Raw genomic sequence first — 19,159 nt, forward strand, 5'->3', positions numbered from 1 at the left:
TGCTCTTTCTACAACCTCACTGCACTTTGCTTGGGAAATGAGTTTGCATCATGTGACCCATCGGGCATACGGCCAATGGTCAAATGTTAGCTTTCAGTATACCCAGGTGATGTCGCTCAGGTCCAGCACCCACCCCCCATCCCCAAAAAAAACCAACCAGGCTAGGCTCAGATAAAATCTGGTGACAGTGGTCGATGTGAAGTTTGTCTCAAGGGAGGAACAATTGTTTCGTCCCTCGTTCTGTGCCATGCCTGGAGAAGCAGGCTTGTGGGCTCAGAAATGACAGTGCTAGTGGCTTCAGCTACCCCCCAAAGGATTAATGTCATGGCCTGAGACTGGAAAAAACTCACTCTCTAACCCCAAAGCAGATAAGAAAGGACCTCATGCCCTAATCCCACCCCCTCCAACACTCAAACCCAGCACTGCCAAGCCTAGGACCACGTTCCCACAATCCTTTGCAAGGCTTGCCTCCAGGGACACACACAGCAGGAGAGGGCTCGATGCTGGAAAACACTCTCGGAGCCAGAGAACACGAGCGGAGCAGCAGGGGACCTGGGCAGCCTGACACGCAAAAAGCCAGCAAACAAGAAAGGCAGAGAGGAAGTGAATCAATCACAGAGACTTTCTCTGCTTCTGACAGGGAAGCCCCTCCCGCAGGAGGCGCAGGGACAGGGGGCCACCTGGCCTTAACTTCAGCAGGAGGGGTGGGATCTTGGCCTCAAGTGGATGGCACAGGTGTGGACGTGGGGCAGGAAGGGACACATGAAGACCCCAAAGCAAGGGCCATCAGGTGCCCTGGGGACTCTATAAGGGCCTGGTCCTAGATGAGACAAGAATTGGTGAGCCACCTGCCCAGGGAAATCATACCATTGTTGAAAAGTCTGTAGAGCAATGAAGTTAGAAGGGTCCAGACAGATGCTGGCATCCCGTCCCTCCACGCCGTCCAGGCTTTTGGCTAGTAACACTGGTTGTCCCAGAGCACAACTGTGAGGCTGCTCCAGGATGAAGGACAACCCATTCCTATTCTGCCAGCATCAGGGTCCTCCTGGGACCCCTCAGAGAGGGGGCCCAGACCAAGGAGACCCCATGCAGCTAGTCCTGGTTTGAGGGAGAGAGGCTCAGAACTCATCTGGTTCCAGACCTGCCTCTGCCCCCAGATCACAGAGTGGCCTTGGGCAAGTCATTTAATGCCATTTGGCCTCAGTTTCCCTATCTGTTAAATGGCTACTAGAATAAGATGACCTCTGAGGTCCTCGCTTGTTCAAAGATTTTATGATGATCATAAAAATAATAACTTTTATTACCCTACATTTATAGGGCTCGTTACAAAATTTCGAAGTGCTTTTATGTAAATTACCTCGTAAAATCCTCCCCTCAGCCCTGTGAGTGAGAGCTGATTATTTTCATCTCTTTGATCTTGGCTCTCTGGATTGCCTGGCGCACGAGGCGGCGTGGGGAGTGGGTTGCAGCCCCCACAGTCCGGACCCCTAGGGTGGGTCTGGCCCCCTCCTGAGCCTGCGAGAGTGAAGGCCTAGCCCTGCGAGTCCTGGAGCTCGGTCCAGGCTTCGTCTCCCTCCGCCCCCAGCAGGCGCCGCTCGGACACCGCTGACACCACTGTCTGGATCGGCGAACCCCAAAGTCGAGGAACCGCCGGTGCAGCCGCCCTTCACCTCGGGGACCTGCCCGGGGACCAGGGGGACGTCTGGGCATCCACCCTCAGGAAGCGGGCAGCGCAGATCACACCTCGGATCCTTCGTAGCACTCCCAAACCCAAAGCCACCAGCCCTTCTCCACCGCGAGGCTGCTCCCGGCAGCCACAGGTCACAGCAGCGAGCGGCTGCACAGACTATCGAGCGAACAGCGGAGGCTGGAGGCAGGGGCGGGGATGCTGGGTGTGGGTGGATGGGTAGGAGGGGAGGCCTCAGACCCTCCCTGTGCACCACCCCCCGGTGGGTCCGCGGCTGCACCCGCGACCTTGGCTCCAGGCCCGCGCAGCGAAGCACCCCCAGCCCCAGCGGCTGGCCGAGCAGCCAGGGGCGGGCTCCCGTACGTGGCCAAGCCGGGCAATTGCTCTCCCCGGGCGAGCAACCCGGCATCCAGCGCTCGCCCACCCCACTCCCTCGCCCCGGGGAGGCCATCGCCTGCCCGGCAGGGGCCCTGCCCTTCCCCGCAGACACCGAGCAGGGAACCAGGAGCTCGGTCTGGGAAGCTCAGCGTAGCCGAGCGTGGAGCCCGGCACGGAATGTCGCTCCCCTCCCAAGCCGGCGCAGGGCAGCCACAGCAGACGGGGGGAGGGGAGCGCCCCTCCCACTTCACCTTGGGCTCTTCTCTGCCTCCCCAGGTCGTCCCCACCTTCCCCCATTCGGAAGCCACAAGTCTCGGAGAGACTGCCCCACCCCCAAAAGAGCCCCAAAACTTGGGAGATGGGGTGTCTTGAAACTCCCTGGAGAGGGCTCTGCCACGGCTAAGCCGGGTGTCCAGGAGGTCACCGTGAGGCCGGCCAGCTCCCGCCGCCCCTCCCCCGCCCACTCTCCCAGCCCCCTCCCTGTCCCCACGTGGGGGTCCCTCCTTACCTTGGGCTCTGGCCGCGCGGATCTGATGCAGAGCTAGCAGTGTCCAGATCAAAAGCCCCCACATGGTGACCAGCCTGGAGAGGGGTCCTCGGGGTCTCCCTTCCCTCCGCCCTGTTTTATAATCCTGGTGGGGTCCGATACCCCGTGGCTTAGTCCCAGGAAACAGTCAGTCTACGCGGCTCCGTGCCCCGGGGTGTAATATGCCCGGGAGGGGCAGCGCTTGGCTACCCCAACCCTTCCTCCTCTTCTGTACTAGTCCGAGCCCGGCAGCGCGCCCGGAAGGCGAGGGGCGAGCAGGGAGAAAGAGGCCAGGCCGCCCTCTCGGACTAGGGCGCCTCTCTCCCTTAGCACCCCAACTCCGACTTCTCCCAAACAGGGCGGCCTCTGCGATCCGGCCGGGTCGCCGGCCGAGCTCCGGAATAAATGGACAACTTCAGGAAACTTCCTCCCGTGGCCACGTTGCCCGCCCCCTCCCCGCCCCCTGGTTGGGTTCTCCCGGCCGACGCAGTCACCGCCGTTCCAGGCGCCGGGCCCCCGGGACCCGGCCAGAGCCGAGCGCAGTGGCAGACGCGGGTGCGGGGGTTCTTTTAGGGGCGCCGGTTTCGGGGGACGCGGTGAGCATAGCGGTCCGAATCTCCCTGGAGCTGAAGTTTTCTTCTCTCTAACTTTGCAGGCAGCATCTGGCGGGGCCGAACCACCCCCTCTGGGCTCCACCGCCCTCGCGCCGAATCGGGAGACGCCGGGTCTCCTCCGGGGGCGCTGGGGCCGGGCGCGCCCTCGGCTCCGCGCCCAGCCGGCTAGCAAACTTTGCGGGTCCCGGAGCCGGGCGCGCAGCCCTGAGCGCCCATGTCCGCGCCAGCCGCGGGGCGGCGGGGGAGGGTGCTGGGCTTCGCGACGCGGGCTGTCGCCGGCGCCCGGGCGCAGAGCCTCCTGCCGGCCCGAGGATGGAGACCGGCGGCTCTGCCCTCCGCCGCGCCCCGGCCGGAGCTCTCGGGAAGACGCACGGAGAGCCCGGCGGGCAGCCCCGGCTCCGGGGACGCGGCGCCCCTTCGGACGCCCGGCGATCGCCGACCTCCCGGGCCGGAGGAGCAACGGCCGCCCCAGCGCCTCGGCCGCCGCTGCCGCTCGCCGAGCCCGCCGCCCTCCGCTTCCCGGGCTCGGCGTCCAGAGAGCCGCTCCTGCCTGCGCCGAGCCGGAGCTGCGGGGGCAGCGTGAGCCGGGGACGAGCGCGGCGGAGGCGGAGACGCGGAGAGGGGGGCCGAGCGCTACCCCGTGGCCGCGACTGGAGAGCAGCCTGCGCGCCGGGAGGGGCGGCGGCGGCGGCGGCGGCCCCGAGCCAGGCCCGGGAGCGAGCCCCGCAGAAATACAATCCGACTGCGCGGCCGCGGGCGCCCAGCGGCTCTGGGACCCGCAGGGGGGCAGCAGTGCCAACCTTCTGCCGCGCCGGGAGAGATGCGCGCGAGCCCCTCCGCTCTCTGCCCAGCCTTTCCTTCCAGCCTCGCTCGCGCCCCTGTCTCAAAGGCCTCATAGGACTCCCAGAGTCTCCTATAGTCGGGAGCCCCCAGCCCCCTTCCGGACATGGAGTGATTGGTGGGGAGGCGGCGGTTGGGAAAAGGGGGTCGGTCAACCGATTGATTCCAGTTTCCCCTTCCCAAGTCAGGCTCTCCAAGGTCTGGAAATGCTCAGGGCGGAGGGGGAGACATCGGGAGGCCTGGGACCTGCAGAAGCCTGAGAAAGTGAAGTTGGTGCCAAGGAGCGTGCGTTCTTTGTTTCTTCTTTTTTCCTTCGGAGCCCAGCTTGTAAAGAGTAGAAGAACCGGACATTGGTGGAGGAATTCAAACAAGAGAGCCCGGAGGCGTCCTCTGCTGTGGCCCAGAGCTAGCGCCTACTCCACGAAGCTCAGCTGGGGTTAACAGGCTTCTGTTAAAATTTCCCGGGCACTGGGAAAATTTCAGGTGCCTTCGCCTCGGTGGACTCCTTTCCCTGCTAACAAAATTATTAAAAATAAGATTTTGCAACTGCGTTGGCATAAGGAAAAGTATATTAATATTGCATATTAAAACATGTTCTTCAGCCTAAAGCTTTACTTATTTTTTTCTGATTTTAAAAGAAATCAAAACATTTTCATGGGCCCCAAAAGACTATGGTCCCTGGCACTGGGCCTGCGGTGCTTAATGCAGAAGTCTACCCTGCGTGTCTGATATTTCTTCTGGGAAATAAAGAGCTAGTGAGACCCTCCATCTTTTGCCACAGTGCTTCTCTCTACTCTCTCTCGTGGTCCTACTTAGTCTGGTCCCCCACGGCTGCCTAGTCTTTCTGGTCCTTGAAGTCTAGGACTGTCACTCACTGATTGCCAACTCTTTCCCAGGCGCACTCCCACCCCAAGGACACCCCTTGTGATTGCTGTGGAATAGGCATAGCCACCGCAAATATATCGTTACTTATATATTCTCCTTTCACCTGCTTTGGAAGAAGAACCGTAAGCATTTATTAAAAATGTCTGAGAAGCTGGCCTGCCTTGCCTACAGCGTTTCAATCACCTAATTCAAACAACATTTCCCCCTGGCAACCTGCTCCATCCCCAGCTGAAGCCCCTCTGGCTGGCTGATTTGTAAATGCGAGGGCTTTGGGGGCAGGCAGCCTAGATGTGACCAACTCTCCTTCTCCTTGGTGGCCATGTCACTCCCACCTGCTTAATGATGCCCAGATGTGACAGTGCACACCCCCTACATACTCTGAATGTCCCCAGCTGTGAGCTCAGGCCCTTCCCAGACTGTCAGGAAGAGCTCTGGTCTTTAGGGTGCTGTTACTCTGTTCGCTCACAGAGGGGGCCTGAGAGCCGTATTTGCGGGGAACCTCTCCTTCTGTCTCTTAGGCCAGATAGCAGAAAGGGCTGCATCTCCGTTTACATCACAGAGGGTAGGAGTTCGCGTGGACATAAAAGTCTGAAACCTGGGTGGATTCCACCCTGATCGTGCCCAATTCCCAGAAGTCCAGCAGGCAGGAATGTGAGCTCCACGTGCCTAGGGCCTCGAATAGCATCGTTCCCTTATTAAGAGGAGGCCTCTTGCACAACCGTTTGGAGCCCTACAAACCTTCTTCTGGGAGTTTCATCCCTAACACGTGAGACGGGGACCCATCAGGGACTGGTGTGAGGAAGGAGGTTTCCTTTTCTTTGTTGGAAGTCTCCAGGCATGCCTGCCAGTTAGAGAGGAAAGGACACCACTCCTGCAGCTCCTACAGCAGATTTCGGTCTCCATCCATCTAGGATGAAGAAGAAGATTTGAGCTCTTTTTGGCCTCAACCCATACACATACACACACAGGAAGGAACTCTCTGATTTTGCCTCTTGCCAGAGTTTTGCTGGCCCAGGAGAAGGCTGAGCTGGGAGTCTGCCACTTTGAGAGGGGCTCGTTACTGGGAAAGTCACTTGCAGACACCATGAGCTCATTCTTGCCACCAGCGGTATAATTAGAGGTTGCATCGGTACAGTTACAGTGGGCGCCACGTCAGGAGGGCTGCGAGGATTTCCCAGGCTCACTCTGTTTCCTTGTTGCAAGCCTGCCCCTTCCTGTTGGAGCCCGCACGGACAGCTCTCCCGGAACACTCGGGACGGAACCTGGGTCTTCCTCATCTATATCCCATTTCCCTCATGCCCGGGGTCTGCACCTTGTTGAAGACCCTCCTCTCCATACCTTTGGCTCTTTTAGTTCGGGGTGGGGGGCGGCGGAAGCAGAGAGCATCACAACACATTTCCAAAGAGAAGGAAAAGCCTAGATCATTCTGCTCTGTCTCCTTCTCCCTTCCAAGTGGATGTGATTTTCAAATGTTACCCTTCTAGGAAAATGCTCACTGAACCCCAGATAGGGCCCTTTTCCTAGCCTTCCATCCCACACATAGTCAACGAAAGGGCAGCCCTGCAGAATCTTGTGAGGGAGGCTTCAGAGTGGGAGGAGAATTACCCCATGCCCCAGCCAAGGAGCACGAAGGCGAAACCCAGGACAGTCAGATGAGCTGCTCAGCCACAGAAGGCCCAGATCCTCCTTAGCCTGCCGTCCCTCTACATCACACTCCATTTCCCACACAGAACCCAAAGGCTGGGCAGGGACAGAATCAGCTTTTCAATATGGTTATTGTGTCTCTTTTTTTCTATTTTCAATCTCAAATGTAACAGCAGCTAGAACAGAGTGTGCAATTGCAGAGTAAGACTGTATCCTCTGGCAGCCCCGGATCTGTGTCGGGGACTGGCAGGGACCAGCCAGGAGGCAGTGACGGTGATACCAGGGAGGCAGCGGCACGTGCTTTTGCTCCCTCCTCACGCCTTGTACCCACTCCCTGTACCCACTCCCTCATCCCAAGTTCTCTGCTTCCCAAGTTGCTGGGGGCTGCCCTTAGCCAAGAAATGCACTCTGGTGGCGATTTTGCCTGGGAAAAGAAGGTGGAAGGAGTGAGCGCAAGGGTTGGACACAACTCAGTTTAGAAGAAAAATGAGTGAGGCCAGAAGAGGAGGCAGAGTGGAGGTGGCCTTTAAACTATGGGTCTACAGAACAAAATCACTCATTCGTGCTTCCCAACTACGCCGTTCCCAGCATCTCATTCCTCAGAGTGAGGCTGTTCTCAGGGTTGCTGTAGGTGGGGCTGGGCCAGGGCCCCCCAGAGTAGAGACTTTCAGCAAAGCCATCTATACTACCTGCAGGGAACTGAGACACCTCACTGCCTTGAAACAAGGGCTTCCAGTAAATACCTCATGGCATTCATTTTTCCTTTTTGTTCTGTGTTGAAGGTGGAGAAAGGGAAGTAGTGGAAGAGGTAGAAGTGGTTTATTAATCTCAATCGGAGAGAGAGAAGCCCTGAGTCCCTGTCTCAGCTCCAGCTGACATAACAAAATACCATAGACTGGGCAGTGTAAGCAACATGCATTTTGGTTTGTTTGTCAACTTTTTGTTTTTATTCTGGAAAACATTTTCAGCATGCATACTAGTAGAGTGTCTAGCATAGAATTCTGCTGTTCAGTATGATAACCACCAGCCATGTGTGAGACAGAGCACTTCAGACTGGGTTACTGACACACATTGAAATGATTATAGTTTGCAGCTATTGAGTTAAATAAAGATAATTTTAAAAAAGAATTAGCCTATTTCTTTTTACCTTGTAAAATATGACTACTGGGAAATTTAAAATGACACATATGGTTCGCATGACGTATTTTGGACAGTGTTGGCATAGACCCCCCTACTTATCTATGCCCATTTCAATAGTCATCAGCTTGCGGCTCTTCTTGTTTCATTTACACCCTATGCACTTAATTTTTTTTTTCTGCTTTGATGCCATCTTTACCAATGTACAGAGCTAAATTTTGTTGACAGCAGACATTTATTTCTCTCAGTTCTGGAGACTGGGAAGACCAAGATCAAGGTGCTGGCTGATTCAGTTCTTGGTGAGAGGTCCTCTCTTCCTGGTTTGTAGACAGCCGCCTTCTTGCTGTGTGCTGGGTCTGCACGAGGCAGAAGGAGAGAGAGCAAGAGAGAGAGAGAGGAAGAAAGAGGGAGAATCAGGGTAGAGAATGAGAGAGAGAGGGAGAGACAGTGTGTCTCTTTCTCTTCTTACAAGGACTCTAATCTCATCATGCAGCCCCATCCTTAAGGCCTCATCTAAACCTAATCACCTCCCAAAGACCCCACCCCTAATACTATCACATTGAGGGTTAGGGTTTCAACATTTGAATTTGGGATTAGACACAATCCTAATCCAGGCTCCGTCCCCACCCTCAATTACCCATTAAAATTTGCTTTATGGGAATGGGCCTAAGTGCTCAATGCATGTCCATGGCTGGGTTGGGCTAGGGGAAGCCTGTATCTTCAGCTTCTCTGTGCTAAGGTCAAAACCACTGTGGGGTCTACTCCTGGCTTTCAAGCCCTGGGATTTGATTGGCTGGGCACAGACCTAAACAGATTGAGGTTCCAACTTCTATGCTCTTCCCTGCTTGTGCCCACCAGTTCTCCAGGAAAAGAGGAAAAGAGACATGGAGAAATGGAAGAGAATATCCCCAAACCACCAATACTGGTGCAGAAATGCTCACTAGCTTGCTGATTGGGAGCCAGATGCAAGCCGGAGAGAAAAAGACGTTAAGAGACCACAGGAGACATTATTTTTAAACAATAAAGCTGCTAAATGTAGGCTAGGCTAGAGGAGGACATGAGTGCATAAGAAATGGGAATCTTCTCTCTCTGGGCCAGTTTAGCTATTCTGAGCCACGGGCAGAGCATGGGGAGGTGAGGGTGTGTGCTCAGCCAAGTCTGGTGGAAGCCCAGTGCAACTGCCAGACAGGAGAGGGTGCTATAAACATGCTGCTGGAAGACTCAGGAAGGAGGAGGTTGGTGGGGTCAGAATGTGTACTTTGTGGTAGTTTCAGAAAGAAAAATAGCACCCATTTTACTCATGAATGTCTTTAATGTGTCTACTATAAGATATGTAAACACCAGGGAGAAGTCTGCCTCTGGGTGGCTGGGACATTGATCTTTGAATTGCACAAAGAATTAGAATCATTTAGGGCCATTCGAAATCACAGAGTGATGAACTCTAACTTCAACAATGTTTATTTAATCTGCCTAGTACGAGAGCAAGCTAGTGGATTTGCCTCTCAGAGTCTACACAGCCAAGTGTCACAACTTAGAGGGTGAGTGCCTTTGATTGGGCATGTTCCTGGCCAGCCTCGCGGACCTCCTTGCCCGATTATAGCCACACCTGCCTCTGGACTTTGCTCTTGGAGATCCCTGTGTCTGAAATGCCCTCCCTCCAAACGTCCCCACCTTCGCTGCATCCGCGTTTAGAAGGTACCCGGCCAGTGAGACCTCCCCGTCAATTGCTTTGAAAGGGCAATCCCACTCTTGCGTGATGTTCAAAATAGTCAACATTGGAAAAGCAGAGGTACTGACCAATCACAGAAGCTACTGCCTGATCCTCTCCACCAGCATGCCCTGCTGTGTGTCAGCCCTGCCAACTCACCAACACACACATGCACTCACTGCAGTGCACACATACAGACATTCTCCCTACTCCCCCTTTCTTACCTTTTCCCCTTTAGCACTCTTACCACTATCTGATATATCATAGATTTTACTTGTTTATTTATTGCCTACCTTCCCCTGCTAGAATACAAGCAGCTTGAAGGCAAGAACTTTTGCTTATTTGTCCCTGTGTATTTAATCAAAATCAGACCAAGCGATGATATTTGTTCAATGTAATCAAAACAATGAGAGAAAATATACATGAAGTGTGAACAGCCTTTCAATTTTATTACTGTGTCTTTACTTCAGTTGACCCTGCAAATTAAGCTATTTACACCTCAAATGTGTGTTTTCTGATATCTGGATTTACAGCAAACACTCACTAATCCCTAAAAATTAACCCAGTATTTGACAAATATCTGCAACATATACAATCGCATACATTAAATTAATTTCTAAGAAATAAGGCTTTGCAGAGCCAAATAAGTTGAAAGGCAGCGTGAGTTTTAGGCCTGAGGCCACTTCTCAACAGCTATGCACAATATACACATTCTAAGTTAGGCTATGAATGAGTTAGGGCTGCTTACTTGGTTTCCGAAAACGATACTTCTTTTTATAAAAGTTTACACTACAGAATCCTTCAAAGCCAATGCATATAAAATAAGATTCCATTTACATTTTAGGATCAAAGCCTACCCATGCTAGGATAAGATGGAAGCTTTTTTTTGGGGGGGGACAGAGTCTTGCTCTGTCGCCCAGGCTGGAGTGCAGTGGTACGATCTTGGCTCACTGCAAGCTCCGCCTCCCGGGTTCACGTCATTCTCCTGCCTCAGCCTCCCGAGCAGCTGGGACCACAGGCGCCCGCCACCATGCCCAGCTAATTTTTTGTATTTTTAGTAGAGACAGGGTTTCACTGTGTTAGCCAGGATGATGGAAGCATTTTTTAGGAGGCAAAATGCAAGATTGAATGAGTGCCAGAACACAGCCTCAGAGAGATCTGAGTTCAAATTCCTGCCTCACAGGTACTAGCAGAAGATACTGCCTTACCCGCCTGTAATCCTGGCACTTCGGGAGGCCGAGGCAGGTGGATCACCTGAGGACAGGAATTCAAGACCAGCCTGGCCAACATGGTGAAACCCCGTCTCTACTAAAAATACAAAAATTAGCTGGGCGTGCTGGCATGTGCTTGTAATTCCAGCTACTCAGGAGGCTGAGGCAAGAGAATCGCTTGAACCTGGGAGGCCGAAGTTGCAGGGAGCCAACATTGTGCCATTGCACTCTAGCCTGGGCGACAGATCAAGACTCCATCTCAAAAAACAAAAACAAAAAAACCCTCTTCATTTCTGAGGAGATGGATACAAGTACCTGCCTTATAATGCTGTGAAGATTAAGTGGGATAACACAGAGGGTCTGGCAACTAATAAGGACTCAATGATATTAGCTATTAAGATTAAAAAATCATTCTTCAATTGTTGATTAGATTTATGGAACAATTCTGCTTACTGTACTCCTAGAGATAATAGAACAATATTTCTAGAGACAATGGCAGTAGAATTTACTCTAGAGCAGGGGTTGATAGATATCATATATGGGTCAAATCTGGCCCACCAGCTGTTTTTGTAAATAAAGTTTTATTGGAACACACCCATGTGCATTCCTTTGCATATTGCCTGTGATTATTCTTGCAGTTACTTGTGCTCTATGACAGCAGAGTTGAGTAGTTGTAACAGAGACTGTATGGCCTGCAAATTTTAAATATTAACTATATAGCCCTTTAGAGAAAAAGTTTGTTGACTCTTGCTCTAGAAGCAAATGAATGCAAGTCATTCCACATGTTTTTTAGATCTGGATTCTAGATTATACTCCTGCCTAGGTCTGCTCTCACCATTTGTCTTGTAGGTAAAAGTATCTGTCAGTCCTTCCACACTTGCCTGAAGCCATCTAGGGCAGCAGCTCAGTGATGTGAGGTTATCTCAGTTTCCCTGCACCTGCTATCTGGCTAAAAATCATACCTAGCAAGAACCTATACAATGTAAAGAAGTGGGGCAGAGAACAAACATCCTCTGCCTTGGGTGCAGAAACATTACCCTGGCTTGCTGGTATCACTTTCTTAGCCTGAGGGCCCTGTAGCCTGCAGGTACCCTCTTTCTGCTTTCGCAGACTTCTCTGGATGTTGTCCTTCCTGCTTTGCTCCACCCCACCTCCCCCTCTTCCTCTGCCTTTGCTGTTTTGAGCTCATGGCCTCTTCAAGTTTCTCACCCCTTTATGTATAAGCTCCTGGCTTAGATCTGCCTGGACTGGGTCTGCCCATAGCCAGTCAAGCACTGCCGGCCAATGCTCACGTAAACACAATGAGGACATTTAGTTGAGAACACTGAGGTTGGGGCCCTTTCCTTTCCTTTTACTCCTCTTAAATACCCTAAATGGGACTAAATCTCCATAAATCCTGTCAACTGGAAGAGTTGAAAGGCTCCCGGGAAATCCTGGTTTCTCTCCCGCTGATTGTGCTGAAGCATTTTATCTAAGGCTGTTCTCTCCTTGCTATCCTAGTCCCACCTCACCCTCATGCCAATCAATCTCCCTAAACCTATTTTTTACTGCCTCCTTTGAAGCCCATTCCATCACAGGCATGCATTTCCTTACACTAAAATACTTTCCTTGCATCTTGCTTTCACCTCCCCATCTTAAAGGTGAAATGACATGACCTACTCCCCCATTCCTAAATGACTGTACCTCCTTTTACCTCTATATTATTCAACTGTTGACTTCTAGATAAAGTCAGAAAATTAGACCTGTATACCTAGACTACATAACTTTTACTGCCTTGCTGTTCCTGAATTTCAGATTGCCATTATGCCAGTTGATTCATTGAAAGATGGTATGAGAAACAGCCCCAAGAGGCAGAAGCCATAAGATTCTTGTTCAATAAGTTGTGCTTTATACCATATCCTTCCATTGGAGTGATAGTTTGGCTGGGTATATAAAATCCTAGGTTCGAAATAATCTTCTCTCAGGACACTGTAGATATTTGAGGCCCCTGCATTTCTGATAAAACCTAAGATGTCAGTTTTATGCTTATAGCTTTGCAGACAACCTGTTTGTTTTCTCTAGAGAGAACTCATGCTTCTCATTCTGAAATTTCACCAGGTTGTATTTCTGTGTTGGCCTTTTTTCATTCATCCTGCTTAGTGGGCCCTTTCACTCTAGGTTGGGACATGGGTCTTCATTCTCCTTAAGGAAACTTCCTTCTGTTGAGTATTTGGTCATTTCCGCCTCCATATTCTCTGTTCCCACTTTCTAGGACTCTCAGCAGCTGGATACTGTCCATGCAGACCAACAGCATGGGCATCACCTGGGAACGTGTTGTAGATGCACTCTCAGGCTTCACTCCAGACCTGCTGAGTCAGGATTTGTTTTCTAAGAAGATTCCTAGATGATGTGCGTGCACATGACATTTTAAGAAGTGCTGCTTTAATTCACTGTCACCTTAGATTTTGTTGAATATGAGGGCGACATGTTAGAAGAGCCCTCACTTCTTACCACGACTGTCCCTGGACTCAACCTCTCACATCTTCCCAGGATTAGAAATCAGGGATGAGAAACCCTCTAACTCCCAAGGGATCCTTCTCCTTTCTGTACCAGGTCCCCTCTGGCATGTTCAGTCTTTTTCTTTCTACAGCTCTTTTCATACCATCTCTAAATAGAAACAGGTATTTCCCAACCTGAAAAAGCTTCACTTGACCCCTTTGCCTCTTCCAGTTCCCATCCAATTTCTCAATTGGCTTTTCCTGCCAAATTTCTTGAATTCATGCAAAACAGGCTCTACTTCTGTTTCTTTGCACAGCCCCTTCCTTAACTGCTGGAAACCTGGCTTTTGACTCCCTGCTCTAAAAAAACTTTTTCAAAAGTCCTTAACTCAGCCTTTATTCTTAGGTCCTCTTGGCAGCATTGGCTACGGCTGGCCACTGTGACCTTCTGAAACATGCTCTGCCCATGACTTTCATGACACCTTGGTGTTGCCTTATCCCACTGAAGAAAGCGTGAGAATGCCCTCCTCTGGGATGACCTCCCTCTTCTGCCCTTCCCTAAGTGCTCAGCCCAATCTGGCCGCCTCAGAGAGACTTTTCCTAACGGTTGCATTCCACATTGATCTACGGACTCCATTCAGTGTTCTCCTTTTGGCACACACACACAAAGACCAGACAAGGTATATAATAATGTAATTATTGGCCAGACACAGTGGCTGACTCCTGTAATCCCAGCACTTTGGGAGGCTGAGGTGGGCAGATCACCTGAGGTCAGGAGTTTCAGACCAGCCTGGCCAATCTGGTGAAACCCCGTCTCTACTAAAAATATAAAAATTAGCTGGGCATGGTAATGCATGCCTGTAGTCCCAGCTACTTGGGAGGCTAAGGCAGGAGAATCACTTGAACCCAGAAGGCAGAGGTTGCAGTGAGCTGAGATCATGCCACTGCACTCCATCCCGGGCGACAGAGCGAGAATCTGTTTAAAATAATAATAATAGTAATAATAATGTAATTATTGCAATGACCTTTCCATCTCACCAACCAAATTAAAGCTACCAGGGGCAAGGACACAGTCTGTGCTATTGTGACTGATTGCCTCGTCTGTTCCCACAGCCCAAGGACAGCTAGACAAGGGGCTGAACCATCATGAAAAGGAATATCGTTTCTTCATCTTCACAGAGATACTGGCAACCCTCAAAGCCATGTGCCTGGGGACTACATCTTTCCCAAGGGGGTGTTTTCTTCGAATTCACCCAAAGGTTCTCTGTGGGCTTGCCGTGCCCCTGGAACAGTCTCGTACCTCTTCTGTGCCCTTTCGGATATTTGTCCCAGCTTGGGGGCATCTTGTCAGTGCAATTGCCTCAGTGTCTGGAAAAGTCTCTCTTCTCCTTTCATACTCATGATGTGAGAACATTTCAGAGGTGACTGCTCGGGGCTAGGGTGTAGAAGCATCTTGTGGGTATGTAGAAGGCAAAACTCACTCCTCAAACCAGATTGAAGCCCCTGGCTGCCCACAGACAGTTTGTGGCCCTTTCGGAAAACCGAGTGGCTGCTTTGCATCCCCGCCTACAGCCTGGGCCTCCTTGTCTAGGGCATGGAAGGAGGAGAGGCAGAGGAGGCCGGGGGGAAGGCAGGTACCTCTTCCATCACTCCTCTGAGCAAGCTCATAGAATCAAAGAGAGATCCTTAAAGCTGAGCGCTCCCTCTGCCTTTCTTCCACCCATCCCCATCACTGCTTGCCCAGGGGTCTCCAGCTCAGTAACAGCAGTTCCACTGTTCCTGATGCTCCAGCCAGGCCCTGTGGGCCCTCCCTGGCATCCCCCTATCTCATCCGTCCATCACCTAGTCTATGCTTCTACCTCTGAAATAGACCCAACGTTTGTACTTCCCCCTGTGTATTTTGCCATTGTCCTGGTCCAGCCTCACCAAGCCCCGCCTGGGCCTCTACCTTGGCCTGCTAGCTCTCTGCTTCCATTTCTCCAGCCCTCAAGTCCATTCTAGGCAGGGCAGCACAATGGTCTTTTTTTTTTTTTTTAGACAGAGTCTCACTCTGTTACGCAGGCTGGGTGCAGTGGTGTGATCTCGGCTCACTGCAACCTCCACCTCCCTGGTTCAAGAGATTCTCTTGCTTCAGCCTCTGGAGTAGCTGGGATTACAGGTGCGTGCCACTACACCCAGCTAATTTTTGTAGTTTTAGTAGAGACGGGGTTTCGCCATGTTGGCCAGGTTGGTCTCGAATTCCTGACCTCAAGTGATCTGCCTGCCTCGGCCTCCCAAAGTGCTGGGATTACAGATGTGAGCCACTGCACCCAGCTACAATAGTCTTTTAAAAGTTAATCACATAATGGGATTCCCCTGCTGAAAACTCTTTAATATTTGATGTTATTATGAAATTATTATTCTTTAAGGTGTGATCTTGTATTTTGGTTATTCCCCCTGCCCTCTGAAAGAGAGTGCTTCTCATTTAGAGGTACATATCATAGTATTCATATAAGAAATGATGTGGGCCAGGCAAGGTGGCTCATGCCTGTAATCCCAGCATTTTTGGGAGGCCAAGGTGGGCAGATTACCTGAGGTCAGGAGTTCGAGACCAGCCTGGCCAACATGGCGAAACCCCGTCTCTACTAAAAAATACAAAAATTAGCCAGGCATGGTGGCAGGCACCTGTAATGCCAGCTACTCAGGAGGCTGAGGCAGGGAGAATTGCTTGAACCCTGGAGGCAGAGGTTGCAGTGAGCCGAAATTGCACCACTGCACTCCAGCCTGGGCAACAGGGCGAGACTCCGTCTCCAAAAAAAAAAAAAAAAAAAAGGATGTATTGGATTTTCTTCAAAATAACACCAGGTGGGTCAGGGAGGTAAGAAATTGGTCATGTTGAAACGAGTACACAGGGCTTCACTGGACTACTCTACTTTTGCATGTGTTTGAAAAATTTTATAATGAAAAAGTTTAAAAAATGGCAAAGATTCTGCATTTCTCATATGACTAAGGCAAACAAACATCCTTACCGTGGCCTGCCCTGCCAGCACCTCTGGCCTTATCTCTTGCTATTCCCACCTGGCTTCCGAGGCTCCACCACGCAGCCGTCCATGCGGGCTCCTTTCCATTCCCACCGACGCCAGGGGGCGTCTCCTCTATCATCCCCAAGGTATGGGATGAAGCCTCCTTTCTCCAGTCTGGCTCCTTCCTGCTAACCTCAGGTCTCAACTTAAAATGCCCTTTCCAATGCCCTGATTTAAATTTAACTAAAGTTTACTTTCTCACTGCACCCTTTAATTTTTCATTTTTGTGCTTACCACAATTTTGGTCTGTTTTCCCCGTGAGGGAAGTTCCATGAGGGCAAAGTTCACAGCTGTTTTGTTCAGTGGTGCATACGTCAAGCCCAGCACATGTTGCCAAATGAAGTGAGATGGCAGCCACACCCTCGGTCCCCCTCTGAAGAAACTGCCCTAGGCAGTTAAAACAATAATTAAAATGAAAAAAAAAAAAAAAAAGGACAACAAATGCAAGAAGCCATGGGTCCACTCTGCCAGATCAACAAATGTTAAGCATCTTTTCCTTTCTTTTTTTTTTGAGACAGAGTCTCCCTCTGTTGCCGGGCTGGAGTGCAATGGCATGATCTCAGCTCACTGCAACCTCCACCTCTGGGGTTCAAGCAATTCTCCTGCCTCAGCCTCCCGAGTAGCTGAGATTACAGGCATGTGCCACCATGCCCAGCTAATTTTTGTATTTTTAGTGTAGATGGAGTTTTGCCATGTTGGTCTAGCTGGTCTTGAACTCCTGACCTCAGGTGATCCGCCCGCCTCGGCCTCCCAAAGTACTGGGATTACAGGCGTGAGCCACCATGCCCGGCCCCTTTTCATATTTTTTTGATGATCATTCTCTCTTTCGTTAAGGAAAATAAATTTAGAGGAAACATTATAGTCTTCTGTGCTTCCCTCCCCAGACCTATCCCCCTTCCTTCCCCCTAAGTAACTACTGTCTGAGTTTGGTGTGTATTCAGTTCATACTTTTAATATTTTTATGACAAACGTGCGTATCCATAAACAATATATGGTATGGTTTTACGTGCTTTTAAAAAATATGTAAATGGAATTCTGTGCTACATAATATTGTACAACTAATGTTTTCCACTCAGTGTTGTTATATATATGTGTGGATGCATATATATTATAAATTAGTTCATCCATTGTAACTGTTATATGGCAATCCACTGTAGGAATACATCGCAATTGATTTATTCATCCCCTTAATGAGGTACATCTGGCTTATCTCCAGTGTTATCTTTGACAAAAAGGCTGGAAAGAATGTACTTGAATGTGCGTCCCCTCTGTCCATGTCTCTCTGACCCATTAGACTGGCCAAAGCAAATGAGAGAGAACCGGCCAGGTGGCGAGGCAATGGGACCTTTCATATGCTGCTGATGGTGGGAGTGACAATTGACATAATCGTTTTAGAGAGCAATTTGGCAATATCTAGTTAAGGCGAAAATGCTCAACCCGGTGATCTAGGAATTATACCTCTGTCATAAATCCTTATCACCAAAGGTAAATTACGTATTTATTTTTCTGCTCAACGGAAAGCATAAAATATATAATATTCTTTTATGATTTCAAGTTTCTAATGCAGTTTTACATATATTACCTAATTTGACGTTCACAAGCATAGTAGCAGTGTCAGCCCCTTGTTATAAACATGGGAACTGAGGCCAAAGATAAGGCCACAGAACTGTAGTTTGGTGCTGGGCTCAAATCCCAGTCATTTGACTTTTTGTCCAGGGCATTTTCCATGACCGCAGGCTGCCTTGCTGTGTTTTCCTGCTGCAAAGAACATCAACAAGCTCTGGGCACTTTGGCGTAGATGCTGCTAGGACCCCAACCAGATACATGGGCCTTTGCGGGAGCTTGTGCCCATCCCCCAGGGGCTGCAAGTGTTGGTGGCTGAAAGGTCACAGCTGCCCTTCCTCAGAGAATTGCCCATGGCCACTAGAGTGGCCTCAGCTGGAGATGTCTGGAAACTTCCCTTAGCCCCGCATGGCAGGGGTTGCTTTAGCCAATGGCTGACTGATGCAGGTGTACAAGGCTGGCCTTATTGTCTCAAGCGGGGACAGCTTTGTGGTACCATTCATGCTCCAGAGCTCACTGTGGGCTGTGGGAGGACATCAGCAGAGCCCGCATCTTTGCCTCGCTGCTTTTCCTGACTTATTCTGTGTTCCTCATGTCCTCTCGTCTTCCTCCTGGGAGGATTCCTTTAAGAACTCTCCTGCACCAGAATTCTCATCTCAGGCTCCGCTTTGAGGGTGATGGTTCTTTATCTTTCTCATGTATGAGAATCACCGTCCAGGTGTGGTGGCTCACACCTGTAATCCCAGCACTTTGGGAGGCTGAGGTGGGAGAATTGCTTGAGCCCAGGAGTTTGAGACAAGCCTGGGCAACATAGGGAGAACTTGTTCCCACAAAAAATGAAACAAAGAAATTTTCCAGGCATGGTGCATGTGTCTTTAGTCCCCGCTACTTGGCGGGTTAAGGCGGGAGAATCACTTGAGACTGGGATGTAAAGGCTGCAGCGACCCATACTTGGGCAACTGCACTCCAGTCTGGACAACAGAGCAAGACCCTGTCTCAAAAAAGAAAGAAAAGAAACACCAATAGGGTTTGTTAAAGCACACATCGCTGGGCTTCCCCTCCACTGCCTGTTTCAGTGGGTCTAGGAAAGGGTCCATAATTTGCATTTCTAGCAAGTTGATGCTGATGATGCTGGTCCAGGGACCACACTTTGAGAACCACTCTTCTAAGGACCCTGACATAAGACAGTTGGTGCCAGGAGAAGCAAATGCTAAGAACGGGAGTCTGCAGTTGGATAACCCGCTGGCAATGAGAAACTCAACACTGGTGATAGAAGGAGAAATGATAGCTCCTGGCATTTGGTAGCGATACAATTTCTGTGACAGCTTACAGTTGGAAGGGGATGTACTGGCTTTTGCAATATTTCTGGCATTGGAGCATTATAGCAGAGACAGTAATTATAAGGATTATGGAATTGAGAGGCTGTT

The 19,159-nt window shown here is 50.7% G+C and overlaps 1 protein-coding gene and 1 long non-coding RNA gene across 6 annotated transcripts in view, besides 1 other annotated feature; one reads left to right on the forward strand and one right to left on the reverse strand.

Annotated features, from left to right (window-relative positions):
- SDK2 (sidekick cell adhesion molecule 2) overlaps positions 1-2,994 on the reverse strand; it is a 310,062-nt gene extending 307,068 nt beyond the window's left edge. For all 5 annotated transcript variants that reach the window (XM_047436313.1, XM_011524914.3, XM_011524915.3 and 2 more), the window contains exon 1: positions 2,574-2,994. In XM_047436313.1, the coding sequence (XP_047292269.1) occupies positions 2,574-2,637 (64 nt within the window). In that variant the 5' untranslated portion in view covers positions 2,638-2,994. The remainder of the gene's footprint in view (positions 1-2,573) is intronic.
- A 1,028-nt stretch (positions 2,995-4,022) lies between these two features.
- On the forward strand, positions 4,023-4,653 carry LOC124904054 (uncharacterized). The gene is made up of 2 exons (XR_007065893.1): positions 4,023-4,243; positions 4,370-4,653. It is a non-coding gene; the product is annotated as an uncharacterized LOC124904054 (long non-coding RNA).
- Positions 11,726-12,254: an enhancer, noted in NCBI's record as "NANOG hESC enhancer chr17:71649316-71649844 (GRCh37/hg19 assembly coordinates)". NCBI's record gives its function as "activates a minimal SCP1, AML or CMV promoter by ChIP-STARR-seq in primed H9 embryonic stem cells {active_cell/tissue: H9 hESC(primed)}" and the evidence as "EXISTENCE:reporter gene assay evidence [ECO:0000049][PMID:30033119]".

The sequence above is a fragment of the Homo sapiens genome, chromosome 17 (assembly GCF_000001405.40).
Source record: "Homo sapiens chromosome 17, GRCh38.p14 Primary Assembly".
Lineage (NCBI taxonomy): Eukaryota > Metazoa > Chordata > Mammalia > Primates > Hominidae > Homo > Homo sapiens.